Genomic DNA, 13316 nt, shown 5'->3' on the forward strand with positions numbered 1-13316 from the left:
AAATTCATTATAAGCCGCTAAGTTTTTCTGTTGTTGAGAGAAACACATGTGGCTTCTGTTTTTCAGAGTGATTTTCACATGCTTCTTAAGTAACAGATTTTGTAGTTAAGGACGTGGGAAGGAGACAGGAGGAGTTTTGCTGATTTGCTTGATTTTTTTTTTCTTTTTTAGCTTGTTAGAAGCTGCCTGTAACTGCTTTGAGAAACAAATATTTTCTTACTGTCTTCAATTATGCATCCCCAATTTAACTTGAGGGAAAAATCACTTTGGAGTTGAAAGTTTCACTCTATTCATTTTCTTTTGATGGTATCAGATTTCAATACATCTCAGACCCTGTTTTTCTTCTGTGTCCTATTACATTCCAAAACATGTTGTGATTGTAAAACTCTTAGAGTATATTAACAATTTGGGATATTTGGCATAATCAGAGAATAGGTCCAAAAGGAGGCAATAGGATATTCTATTAATAATTGTAATTGCCATTTTTAGCATTTCCTGTTATGTACTATGCTCTTGTCAAGTGCTTTGAAGATATTGTTTTACTTTTCCTTCCCACCACCAGCAATGTTTATGAGGTAGATGTTTTTATACATGTTCTATGGATAAGGAAACTGAGTCTAATTGGCCCCGGCTGGGAACTAACGCTAGGGAAACGGCAGACCTGCATTAGAACTCAGCTATGTCTGACTTCAAACACAGGCTCAGTAATATGTGGAAAAGCTTCCCAATTAACTTTGTCTATAAACTTTGTGTGAGTCTGGATTTTGACTTACTCTTTGTCTTTACGCATCTGAGAGGACCCATGTAGGAAATAATTCTTCTATATAAGTGACCCTTCCTGACTTCATTCATGAAAAGCTTATGTTTGAAGGGTGACACGACCTAAAAAAGAGTACAAAATAGCTTTTGATTACATTTATAGCTTTGCTCTGATATCCCAATACCTACTAGTCCATTCCTGGTATCCACCCTACCTGACTTTCTAAAAATTTAGAATTATAGAGACTAATTATGATTAATTAAGATAGGTTGTTGTTCAGTTGCCACTGGATTCAGAGTGCCTAGTTTGAATCTCTCCCATTCACTATCTGTGGACCCCTTCGGAACCTAACGTATCCAAATTAGTTTTTGTCATCTAGAATAAGGATAAAATTGTACCATCTTCATGAAGTTGTTAGGATCATCCACAAATTTTAGTTTGCGCAATGCTTGGCATGATACAAGCACTCAATAAATTTATCATCTTCCTCTTTATCATCACTATTACATTTATTATCATTAATAACCATACCAATTTTTGGTTGTTGTTAGTTATAATTATCATTTTTGTATGTATTTAACATAGCCTAGGAGGCAATGCCCAGTTCAGAAAACATAATGGCAAAGCAAGAGTGTCTAAGGCACACTCTTTCTCCCATCTCTCTCTTCTTTCTTCTCCATTCTTTCCACTCTATCCCCTCTTCTCTTTTTTTTCTCAATCTCCTTAGATGTGGACATATGTGTGAATTCAATTTTATAATCACTATTCAAATATATTTATATGGCTAATTATATACATAAGTATACCCATATAATATATATAAAGATATATATACCAAGGCTGGGCACGGTGGCTCATGCCTGTAATCCCAGCACTTTGGGAAGCCAAGGCAGATGGATCGCCTGAGGTCAGGAGTTCAAGACCAGCCTGCCCAACATGGCAAAAACCCATCTCTACTAAAAAAGTTAGCCAGGCATGGTGGCTTGTGCCTGTATTCCCAGCTACTTGGGAGGCTGAGGCAGGAGAACCACCTGAAACCGGGAGGCAGAAGTTGCAGTGAGCTGAGATTGCACCACTGCACCACTCCAGCCTGGGTGACAGAGTGAGACTCCGTCTAAAAATATATATATATATAATATATATATGTATGTATGTATGTATATGTATGTGTATGTATGTATATATACCTATGTGCACTCAATATCATTATTCATGGTACTTCTCTTCTATGAAGTCACCACAAACACTGCATTAGTGAATCCTGAACTATTGCCCCTAGTAGAGATATAGGTTTTGGTTCCTGTGAGCATTTGGCCACAATATTTTTGTCAACTGATCAATACATAAACTTGCTTTACGTAAGTCTCTCTTTAAAGACACCTTATTTAATACATACTATTGATTCATTCACGTGGAACTCCCAGCCAACAGCACTATAACTAAGGCCGGAATGAAGCTTATCTAGTGCATATTTTCTCTGTGAGATGCATTGAAGACTGCTTGCAATTAGGAACATAATATGACACTTCAGCACCAAGTTTGGGGGCCACTTTAAACAGCACAATTCTCAGCATAAAAACACAAAAAATGTGGAAAACATGGCACTAAATAGGCCATAGAAGAACATTTGTTGTGATATTAGAGCTGATACAAGAACACAGAGTATCACTTTATTTAGCCTTAGCTGGAAACGTCTGAGACTCATTTTTTTTCACGGTTCTGTTCATATCCATGAATGGCTGTGAAAGTGCTACGAGTTTAGATTTTGTGGCTACATATAAATTTTAGCAAGTAGGCAACTTCACGAATATAGAATTTGTGAATAATGATGATTGACAATATATACTCACACTCATGTAGAATGTTTATCTGTAGAGTGACAGCATATCTTGGGAGCAGTTTGAATAAGAAATCAAGGGACATCTACAGTGCAATATGTTGGGAATTTCAAAAGGCTTATAGGGATAAAAATTGAGCTAAGAGTTCAGAATGAGGAGAAAGTACTAAACCCTCACATGAAATAGAAAGCAGTGAATAAGAAAAAGAAACATTTTAGTTATTTTTTCTGATTTAAGAGCTATAGACAAAGGAAATATATTTAAAATACATATATAAGAAAAGTACAAACATAGAAGGTATAAATTATTCAGTAAACTTGCATAAAATGTAATTTTCAGAATCAAAGGGACAGTGGATTAGATGATATTGATGATTTTTCTCTTAACTGAGAGTCATGGAACATGAATATTTAAAGATAATGTCTTAGAGATAGGCACTATTTTGACAGACCTTAACATCATTATGCTAAGAAGTTTAAACTACATTATAAGCTATGTAAAATACTATATCTTAGAGATTACTAAACAGTCATAGAACATGGCATGAGGATGGTGATGGCTTTTGAAGGCCACTTTATGGGAAGGAAATATGCAAAGTGAATTCAGGGGAGAAACTCGGGGGTTCAATTTCAGGAACTAGTGCAAGAGCTCTGGCTCAAGCTCATAAGATTAGAAATATGGTAGTGGCATTTGTAGGGATAAAATTAGGAAAGTAATTGATATGGGAAGCACTGCAAAGGAAAAGTTTATAGAACCAGAGATGGACTACCCATGAAGGCATAAGGCAGACAAGAATTAAGATACCTACATCATAAGCACAGGAGATGGAAAATAGTACCGTTAGAGAAAATCGGCAGAGAGAGAAAGAGAGAGAGCGAGAGAGAGAGGATTTTTTGATGAGAAAGCAGAGAGAGAGATGATGAATTTAGAGTTAGAGATGTAGAGCTGGAGACGGTGAGATATGAAGATTGTTTGTCCAGGATAGAGATCTATTGTATTTCATCTCAATAAAAGAGAGCAGGAATTGTGGGAGGCATTAAGGCTCCTGGGAAAAGAATATGGAAAGAACAGGGATCATAAACTGAATTATGTATATATGTATGTATACATGTATATGTCTATTAAAAATATTTATCGAGTTCATCCTATGTGTCAAGCAACATTCCAGGCACTGTGCATTCAGTAGTGAATAATATAGACATAGTACGTGCCCACATGTGACTCACATGATGGTGTTTTCATATTTTTGTAGCAGTCCAGTTATTCAGTAAATTAATTGTAATATGCACACATATGTGTATATATACATATATATGCACACATATGTGTATATATACATATATATACACACAGAGAAGTATTCTTAAACAGATAGTTGTTTTAAACGTTTTTTAACAACTGAATTCTGCATATAATAATATATGTTACAGGCATATTGTACTCAGGAGCACTTTATATTTTGCAAGAATACATGCAATATATGCAAGAATACATGCATAATATGTTAACTATATTAGTTAACATTGATTTCGAAAACAGAGAAATCTCAAAATCTCAGTAACTTAACACAAAGAAGCTAATTTGTTCTTCACATAAAACCCTCGCTGATGTTTCTGATCTTCACCTGGGGAATGCACTCCATGTAGTCATTCAGAGAATAAGATGGATGGTAATTCTGTTGTTACCCAGCCAGATTTCCAGTGTTACCCTAGGCATTGATATTCAACAGGCAAATGGCAAAAGAGGGGAAGACCCAGGGTGTGAGAAGATTTTGTATGTATCAGGCCTGGAAGTCATGCATATGAGTTCTGCCTGCATTCATTTGTCTAGAACAGCTGCATGACCACATCTGACTGTAAAAGAGACTAGGTTATATGGTTCAGCTGTGTGCCCAGGAGGAGAGGGAAATTGGTTTGATGACATCTGGCTAGTCTCTGCTGAACTCACTAATTTTTTAAAAAATGCTGTTATAGACTTTGTCCTTCTTATTTGTTTCTGCTTCATTTAAAACATGATTCAGACTTCTTGTTTCCTCTATTTTTGTTCCCTAACATCTTTCAAAAAAGTCTTGGATAGTCTCACAAATGAGTCCATTTAAATATGCATTGATGGTCTACATGTCTTATGTTGACAAGTAAAAATACCTCAAATCCTACATGAAACTTCCCCTGTTTACTCACATACATTTGTTCTTTCCTATGTTAGAGTACAAGACACTGAAATTTAAGTCATGACTCAGTTCTCTTACCTGTGCGGAAGATGCTAAGATCTGATCAGCAGATGATGAGGCTGGTCTTAGCTCAAGGATGATTGTGCGAGGATACCCAGGATGTGCTGGACTTATTGCTCATCAGCTTATGCAGTGTGCCCTTGTTGGCTTACGTAGGAGGCAGCCCCAAAATCTCAGCCTAGAATTAAAACGTGAGAAGACAAGAGGGCTGGAGATACCCAGGAAAAGTTTAATTTGATGGTGTTTCTTTAAGAAAAGGGGGCTTAGAAGTATTTATGCTGGCCGGGTATGGTGGCTCATGCCTGTAATCCCAGCACTTTGGGAGGCTGAGGCAGATAGATCACCTTAAGTCAGGAGTTCGAGACCATCTTGGCCAACATGGTGAAACCTCATCTCTACTAAAAATACAAAAATTAGCTGGGCATGGTGGTGCACACCAGTAATCTCAGCTACTTGGTAAGCTGAGGCAGGAGAATTGCTTGAACCCAGGAAGCAGAGGTTGCAGTGAGCCGAGATCTCACCACTGCACCCCAGCCTGGGTAACGGAGTGAGACTCTATCTCAAAAAAAACGTATTTATGCTACGAGTCATGAAAAAGTTGAATCATAAATTTAACTCTCTTTTCAAAATGTTTAAAAATATGTTTTAAAGATTAAAGGAACAAAAGGCTCAATAAGGTAGTAATGAATGAAGATGTTTAATTTAGGATTTTCTCATGTAACCACGAAGAACGTCATGAAGTCATTTAAATGGGAATAAAGTTTCATTTTTTTCCATGTACTCTAGGTGTAACTCAGAAAGTTAGTTAATCAGCATTCTGAGAATTCAAAATTTCTTGAAGCATGCGAAGGCTTATCTCTTTCTCCTCTTTTTGAATTTACTTTAAACACTGGGGGATATGAATCTGTCAGTAATTAGGAATTAGTCAGAGAAAGGCCTCTTACTCATAATGAACCTCTTTGAAAAGTCTCTATTTATGAAGTTAAAAACACCCTGGAAAATTGGGATAAAAGTTACATATTTTAATTGAGTGGAAATTGAAGTTATCTTCAGGTGTCACAGTAATAAATAGTTGGGCCAAGAATATAACCTAAAATTCTACTTTAAGTCACGTGACCAAACACAAACTAATCTAAGAATTCTGTGGAGTAAAAATTAAAAATAAGGCACAGAAGTGAGGGGTAGATATACTTTAATCCTGCTTCTGCCTTGATCCTCCCTCAATTCTCATTTAGTAAACTTTGTGATGACTGAAGTATGCATAACAGTGTGCAAAAGGTCAGAGTTACTTGAGCTGTGTTAAAAAGATCCATCTTTTGCACCACAGATTCCTAATCTTAATGCTTCCTCTAATTTCACTTTCAGGATATGAGCTATTTTAGTGACTCTAGAAACTCTAATGCATAAAATAGCTAGTATTTTTAAAGATAGTATTTATATGTCACTTACAATGTGCTAGACAATGCTGTATGCATGTTATATATATATTAACTCACTGGTAGCTCACCATCACTGCAAGAAGTGAGCATATCATTGCTGTTTCCATTTTACAGATGAAGCAATTTAAACATAGCTTGTTTAAGTGACTTACCTCAGCCCACACAGCTAGTAAGTAGCAGCACTGTAGTTGAACCTAAGCAGTCTGGCTCTGGTCTACACTCAACCATCCTTACACACTGACCTTAGGAAACTGTCTGCATGTCTACATGTAAGGGTTTCTCTCCTAGGTGCCTGATTTTTTTCCAAACAATCATTTAAAAAAGGTTCACAGCAATCATTTGTTATCAGCATGGATTTTGTAGCTAGCACATTTAATGTAAGGGGCATTTTTAAATGTTATCTATGCCACTCTAAAGGAAGATGCTGAACTGGAGTTTCTTTAAGGGAGTGGTGAGGATCACTTTAGATTCTCTGTGTGTGCATGCAATTACAAATTAACTAATTGTGACAGATAGCAGCTGATATGAGATATTAAATATAAAAACATAGAATTCTAGGAAGATGGCTCTATTAGTGTGTTCTCACTCTGCTAATAAAGACATATTTGAGACTGGGTGATTTATAAGGGAAAGAGGTTTAATTGACTCACAGTTTCACATGGCTGGGGAGGCTTCACAATCATAGTGGAAAGTCAAGGGACATATTACATGGCACACCGCAGGCAAGAGAGCTTGTGCAAGGGAACTCCCATTTATAAAACCATCAGATCTCGTCAGACTTACTACCAGGAGAACAATATGGGGAAAACTATCCCCGTTATTCAGTTATCTCTATCTGCCCCCTCCCTTGACACATGGGGATTATTACAATTCAGGGTGAGAGTTGGGTGGGGACACAGCTAGTTGTGACAGTGCAGTGACAGCAGCTGATATGAGGTATTAAATATAAAAACATAGAATTCTAGGAAGATGGCAGATATGGTGGAAGTTTAGGTTTTGATCCATTACTCCTATGACCTCTTCAAAAACAGTATTTCAAAAATGAAATTTTCTTTCTTTTAATTTCTTAAGAGTTATATTATCTGCAAGCCTATTCATAATATTAATAACAAAAGGGAAAAATAGGTTCTATGGTAGGCTAGTTACTTGTCGCAGTAACTACTACTAGGAAATATTGATACAAATACTAGGAAATATTGATTTCCTAGTAAACTTGAAAAAATATTTTAATTATCCCTGGTGAGTAGAATGTTTATACAGAATAAAAAACAAGATAATAGAATATATTTGAGTAATTATTGAAAATTGTGGACACCGTTTGTTTATTAAGTTAAATTGTACAGTTGAGTTGATTTAGTTTTCTGTGAATTAATTAGACATTTCTTTTCAGGTACATGACAGATGGAGGACTTAACCTATATACTAGAAGTCTGAACCGAATACCAGACACAGCAACTTCCCGGGACATCATCCAGAGAGGGGTTCACGATGTGACAGTGGATGCAGACAGGTAATGCTATCAGCATATATGATGGTGAGACATGCATGAAGTAATTTTATAAATAAGAAAATAACAGAAAACTCCTATTAAACAGTGTAAATCAAAGGACTTTTTATTTTGATAAATAATTATTTTATTTTGATAAATAATTATTTAGGGTTTTTTTGTTTGTTTGTTTGTTTTCGTTTTTTTTGTGTGTGTGAGACAGAGTCTTGCTCTGTCACCAGGCTGGAGTGCAATGGTGCAATCTCAGCTCACTGCAACCTCTGCCTCCTGGGTTCAAGTGATTCTCCTGCCTCAGCCTCCTGAGTAGCTGGGACTCCAGGCACGCACCACCATGCCCAGCTAATTTTTGTATTTTTAGTAGAGATGGAGTTTTACCATGTTGGTCAGGATGGTCTCCATCTCTTGACCTTGTGATCCACCCGCCTCGGCCTCCCAAAGTACTGGGATTACAGGCATGAGCCTCTACGCCCCGCCTATTTGGGGATATTTTTAAAACTAGGATGATTTTCTTTACAAGGCCATTTTAGCTCTGTAATACCAAAAATAAATGTATGGCTGGGGAGATTTTTTTTTAATTTCAGGTAACATAGTTGCAAATGTTAATATCTATAAAAGCAGAATTATAAACATAGACTTATTTTCCTTGTTAGAAAGAAACTCTGGTTAATAAGTTTCATTCAGTTCAGATATCCTCAGATTTACCTGGAAGCTAATGATATAAAGATTAAAATATATTTCAAATCATCTAGTATAATAAGCTTGATGCTTTCCTTGAAGGTGTTGTAAACATAGAAAAACTCTTACTTTAGGCTTATTTTTGCTTCTTTATTGCCTCAAATTTCTTAAAGATGTGTGTGTGTGTGTGTGTGTCTGTGTGTGTGTGATGAACTAATTATTTTGCTGGAAATTGCTCTGCTGATTTATCAGAATCATCACTGTTTAAGAACATTGCTTTGGTAAGATAATGTTGTAATATACATTTCTGGCCTGATTTTGCTCCCTCTTCACTCAGAATTTTGACTTTGTTGAGCAGGAAGGGATTGCATATTTTCAGAATTATTATATCTAAATACCTAGAGTAGTTGTTTAATTCAGCATTTATGAAAAAGACAAAAGGTTAAGGTGCAATGTACTCACATTCTGAAATAGGAACTGTATACAATTCATTGTGCATTTTTGTACAGTCAACTCCAAAGGCTAGATACCCAGGGAATTCTAATATTAGTCTTCAGTTTCTCCTTACCCACAGGCTGTTGATATCCTGACTCATAGTGGTTAGAACAGTCTCAGCTCCCACCCTGTCTGTATCCTACTCTCCTAGCCTATATACTCTTGTGTGTGGGTGTGGGTGTGAAGCATGTGTATGTGTGTGTGTGAAGCATCTCCCCACCTGTAATGTAAGTCCATGAGTGCAGAATTTTTGTCATATTCTTTACGTGTTGAGTTTTAACAAATGTTTGTGGAGTGAATGAACAAATTAATGAATATAGGCTATTTATTAATTAGGCAATATAGTCACATAGGCTGGCAATCGCATCTAATTAAATAGAGTGGTAAATGAGTTCCAGAAAGAACTAAGGTACTACAAGGATGTTATGAAAGAGAAAAATGAGTTATGTGAAAAATAGGAGACAGTGATAAGAGGGAAAGAATCCCAAAGTGTGGGCCACATTTTGAAACTAATGACCTATTATTCTATTATTGTTAGCTGAAAGTAGAAAACGTCATGGGAGGGAATATCTGCTAGTTTTTGGTAAAGGATGTTGTGATGGCAGAACCAAGAAATGAACACAAGGTGACTTTGGTTTGGGGACAGTGGGATAATCAACTCTCCTTGCTCCATCAGGGCCCCAGACTGGGCTCTGGCAGAGGAACTCAGAACAACGTAAAGACCTAGATAGGTATCTAATAAATTGGGACCTGTGAAAACAGTGCCTCTTAAAGTGTGGTACCTGGACCAGCAGCAGCAGCAGCAGCAGCCATTGAAACTTCATAGAAAGACAGATTCTCAGCTTCATCCAAGACTTACTGAATTAGAATATCTCAAGGTAAGGCCTGGTAATCTGAGCTTTAACTAGCCCTCAAGGTGATTCTTAAGTTCAAGCATCACTATATTAAGTTGAACAAATAGATGCCAGGCCTATAAATACATGTAACGCCTAGCATAAATATTTCAACATTAAAAATGACATTTCATAGTTCTTATTTACCCTATTAGCTGTGTTCTGTCAAGATAATGAGAATATTGATATGTTAGAATACACTGATGGCACTAATTTTTAAATTAGATCAAATAATGACTTGTTATACCTGAAATAAATTGGTTCAGCTTGGTAGATGCAGTTTTTGAGAATTATATAAGTCATTTTTAAAAGAATAATTTTAACTTGAGCTGCTTGCATAAATTAAATTGCAAAAAGGTCATAGTATAAATCCTCCTATTAGCAGAGATAGAAGGTTTTTAAAAAAATTACAGATAAGTCTGAAGGTCTTTTAAAATCTTATATTCAGGAAGTGACTCGGGATGTATATCATTTTAAAATACATGGTCTTAAATGTTGTAGTTGTATGACTCTTTCAGTTAATTTAAAATACTTCCTTCTATGAAAAATTGTTTCAAAAATTTTTCTAAATTCTGTTATCCATTTCAAGTAGGATAGGCAAGAACAGATATAAGATACTACTTTTTTGTTCATGTTTACTAAAAAAAAAATTACTGTAATTGAGATCATGTAAAAACATGTTTCCTGTCTATTTGTCTTAACCTTTTAATCCTGGCACCTTAAATTTGACATAGTAGGAATTAGAAGACAATTGCAGAAAATGTCAACTGGGGAAATTTTATTCTACTAAAAACTATGTCCATACAACATAGCAAATCACATTTTAAAGGCCAAAAAGTCTTTCATAGCAATTTTTCAGATTATTTTCAAAGCATATCTTCTCTCTGCTCCTGCAGCATGCCGTTGATTTTTCTGTTATGCAGTCACATAAGTAATTACATGTTTACATGTCTATTTCACTCATAGAACACGAAACAGTTAAATGTAGAATAATATCCAATCCATCTTTTTATCACCAGTAGCTAGCATACTGTAGGAACTCAATAAATATATCAGATAAATTGTGGAAATAACCATATCAGCTTATAACATATAGAAATGTGAGTTTAAAAAGAAAACAATTATACATATGAAAAAATTTTTATACCATTTTTTTAAAGACCTTTCAGATGTCATACAGTTTGGACTTTTCCAGTGTTTCTTGTATCATGAGACAATAGTAGACATTGTAAATCAAAAATAGTTTTCTGGGGTTGTGTACATTTGAAAAAACTGAATATCATATCTGTTCTTAGAGAGTAATGATGGATATTAACATATCAAAGGTACAGAGAAGTCTTAAAGTTCAAAGTAACATCTGCTTAATTGTATTTAATTCAGTGCTCCATGAGCTTTTTTATCACTGATTCCCTCCCTTTTTTCTCTTATGATAATAATTAACTTGTTCCTGTAGCATTTTAAGAAATGTTGATTTAGTTGAATGCCTTCACTTCTCCAATATAATAGCAGAAACTCAGAAATATTTATTTACCCAGAATCATGCAGCTAATAGTACAAGGATTCAGGTCTTTTACTTCCTATTTTGTGGTTCCCAACTACTTTTGCCAAAGGTCTTTTAAATAATATGAAACATATTAGTGATTGATTCATTATAGTAAATGGGTAAATGATAAGGCTTGCAATAATTCACTGACAAGAAAGCTTAAAAGTCAAAAGAAAAAAAAATCCACAGCATTTTTTTTTCTTAGTTATTCTTTCTAAAAGCTGTGTAAGTGCAAAAGCAGAGTCATAGCACAATGGCAGCCAGCCAGCTACCTAGCATAGCAATGGACTTGAATTGTTTGTATTGTTATAGTGAAGGCTATAGTTTCCCTTTGATCAACTTCTGGTTAAAATGTGATGGACATTAGAGAACAACTGAATTCCTCTTACCAGCACATTAAAAAGGCCCCAAAGGAAAAATGAGGACTTTCAGCAGCCATCTGTAGTATATTTTAAATATTTTATTGCTTAAAGATATTGCAGTTCATTTACTTTCCATATCAATCCAACACCAACCCCATTTCTGTATTTACTTGACTAAAAAAAAGATTGCAGAATGGGTATAATCCTTGCAGATATGTTGGAGACTCTCCAGCAACTTCACAGATACATTTATAGCTGGCAGTTAAATATGTGGGTTTTATACATTGTGTTGGGCTATGTTTAAAGGGTACATTTTTGGGGACTGCAGGATGATTGTGGTTTTGACCTTTATTAACTCCTATTATTGTTCTTACTCTAGATTCTATGCTAACAATCACAAATATTTTATAAACAAATATATGATTACTTCCTAAGTGCCTGTCATCATAGTAGCACCTTGGGTAAAAATAAAACAAAACAGTATGGGTGAAAGTTCCTCAGTTTAATGGTAAGAGAGAGTAATGTAAACAAAGGCCCCTCTTAATAGATGTCTATACAATGTGCCTTAGAAGCACCAAAGAGAAACAGTTACTCCTACCTGGGAGTATAAAGGAAAGACTTCAAAACACAGTAGCATTTAAGCAGGGTCTTAAAGAAAGCATACAACTTTTTGACATCCAGCCTGGGAGAAATCAGAAGGAATGTGGGGAGTGAGAGCATAAAGGCATAGAAGAGTTTGGTGTGAGGAACCAGTAATGGGATTCTGAAGTGCACTGGGAATGTGGACAAGGAGACGAGAGACAAAGGACCTGGGGGCCATACTAGGGTGTTTGGACCTATAGGTGATAAGGAGCTATTTTACTAAGTTTAATTAGTTTTATTTCATTTCAAGGCAAAAGCACATGCTATAATCATTGTATTTTAAAAGGAACTCTCATAGCAATGTAAGAACATTGAAGAGGGATGAGATAAAGACAGGTAGAGTGCTTAGAAAGTGACTAAAATAAATTAGATGAGCACCTAACTAAAGAATGGCAGTGGGGAAGGGGGCTGGGGACACCATCTATTTCTAGAGGAACTTGGGTTTTGTCTATGTGTATGATAATCCTTGGCTGTCATAACTAAATACCACAGACTGAGTGGCTTAAACAATAGACATTTAGTTTTTCACAGTTCTGGAGGCTAGAAGTTTATGATCAAGGTGTCAGCAAATTTGTTTTTTGATGAGAACTCTTCCTGACTTCCAGAGAGTGGGTTTCATGCTGTATTCTCACATGGCCTTTCCTCTGTGCTCCTGGAGACATCTATCTATCTGTGTCTGTCTGTCTGTCTGTCTGTCTGTCTGTCTGCCTGCCTGCCTGCCTGCCTGCCTGCCTGCCTGCCTGTCTGTCTATATAGAGAGAGGTCTTTGGTGTCCCTCTCTCTTCTTATAAGGGCACCAGTGCTATTAGATTAGGATTCCACCCTTATGTATTAATTTAACCTGAATTACCTCTGTAAAAGTCCTGTTTCCAAATACAGTCACATTGCAGGTTAAAAATTCATATAAATTAGGGGGTGGAGACATAATTCAA

At 35.9% G+C, this 13316-nt stretch overlaps 1 protein-coding gene across 31 annotated transcripts in view; it reads left to right on the forward strand.

Moving 5' to 3' along the window:
* Positions 1–13316, forward strand: part of NAV3 (neuron navigator 3) — a 641149-nt gene that overhangs the window by 479477 nt on the left and 148356 nt on the right. For all 31 annotated transcript variants that reach the window (XM_017020166.3, XM_047429817.1, XM_047429823.1 and 28 more), the window contains one exon: positions 7658–7777. In XM_017020166.3, the coding sequence (XP_016875655.1) occupies positions 7658–7777 (120 nt within the window). The remainder of the gene's footprint in view (positions 1–7657; positions 7778–13316) is intronic.

This window comes from Homo sapiens, chromosome 12 (genome assembly GCF_000001405.40).
Source record: "Homo sapiens chromosome 12, GRCh38.p14 Primary Assembly".
NCBI lineage: Eukaryota > Metazoa > Chordata > Mammalia > Primates > Hominidae > Homo > Homo sapiens.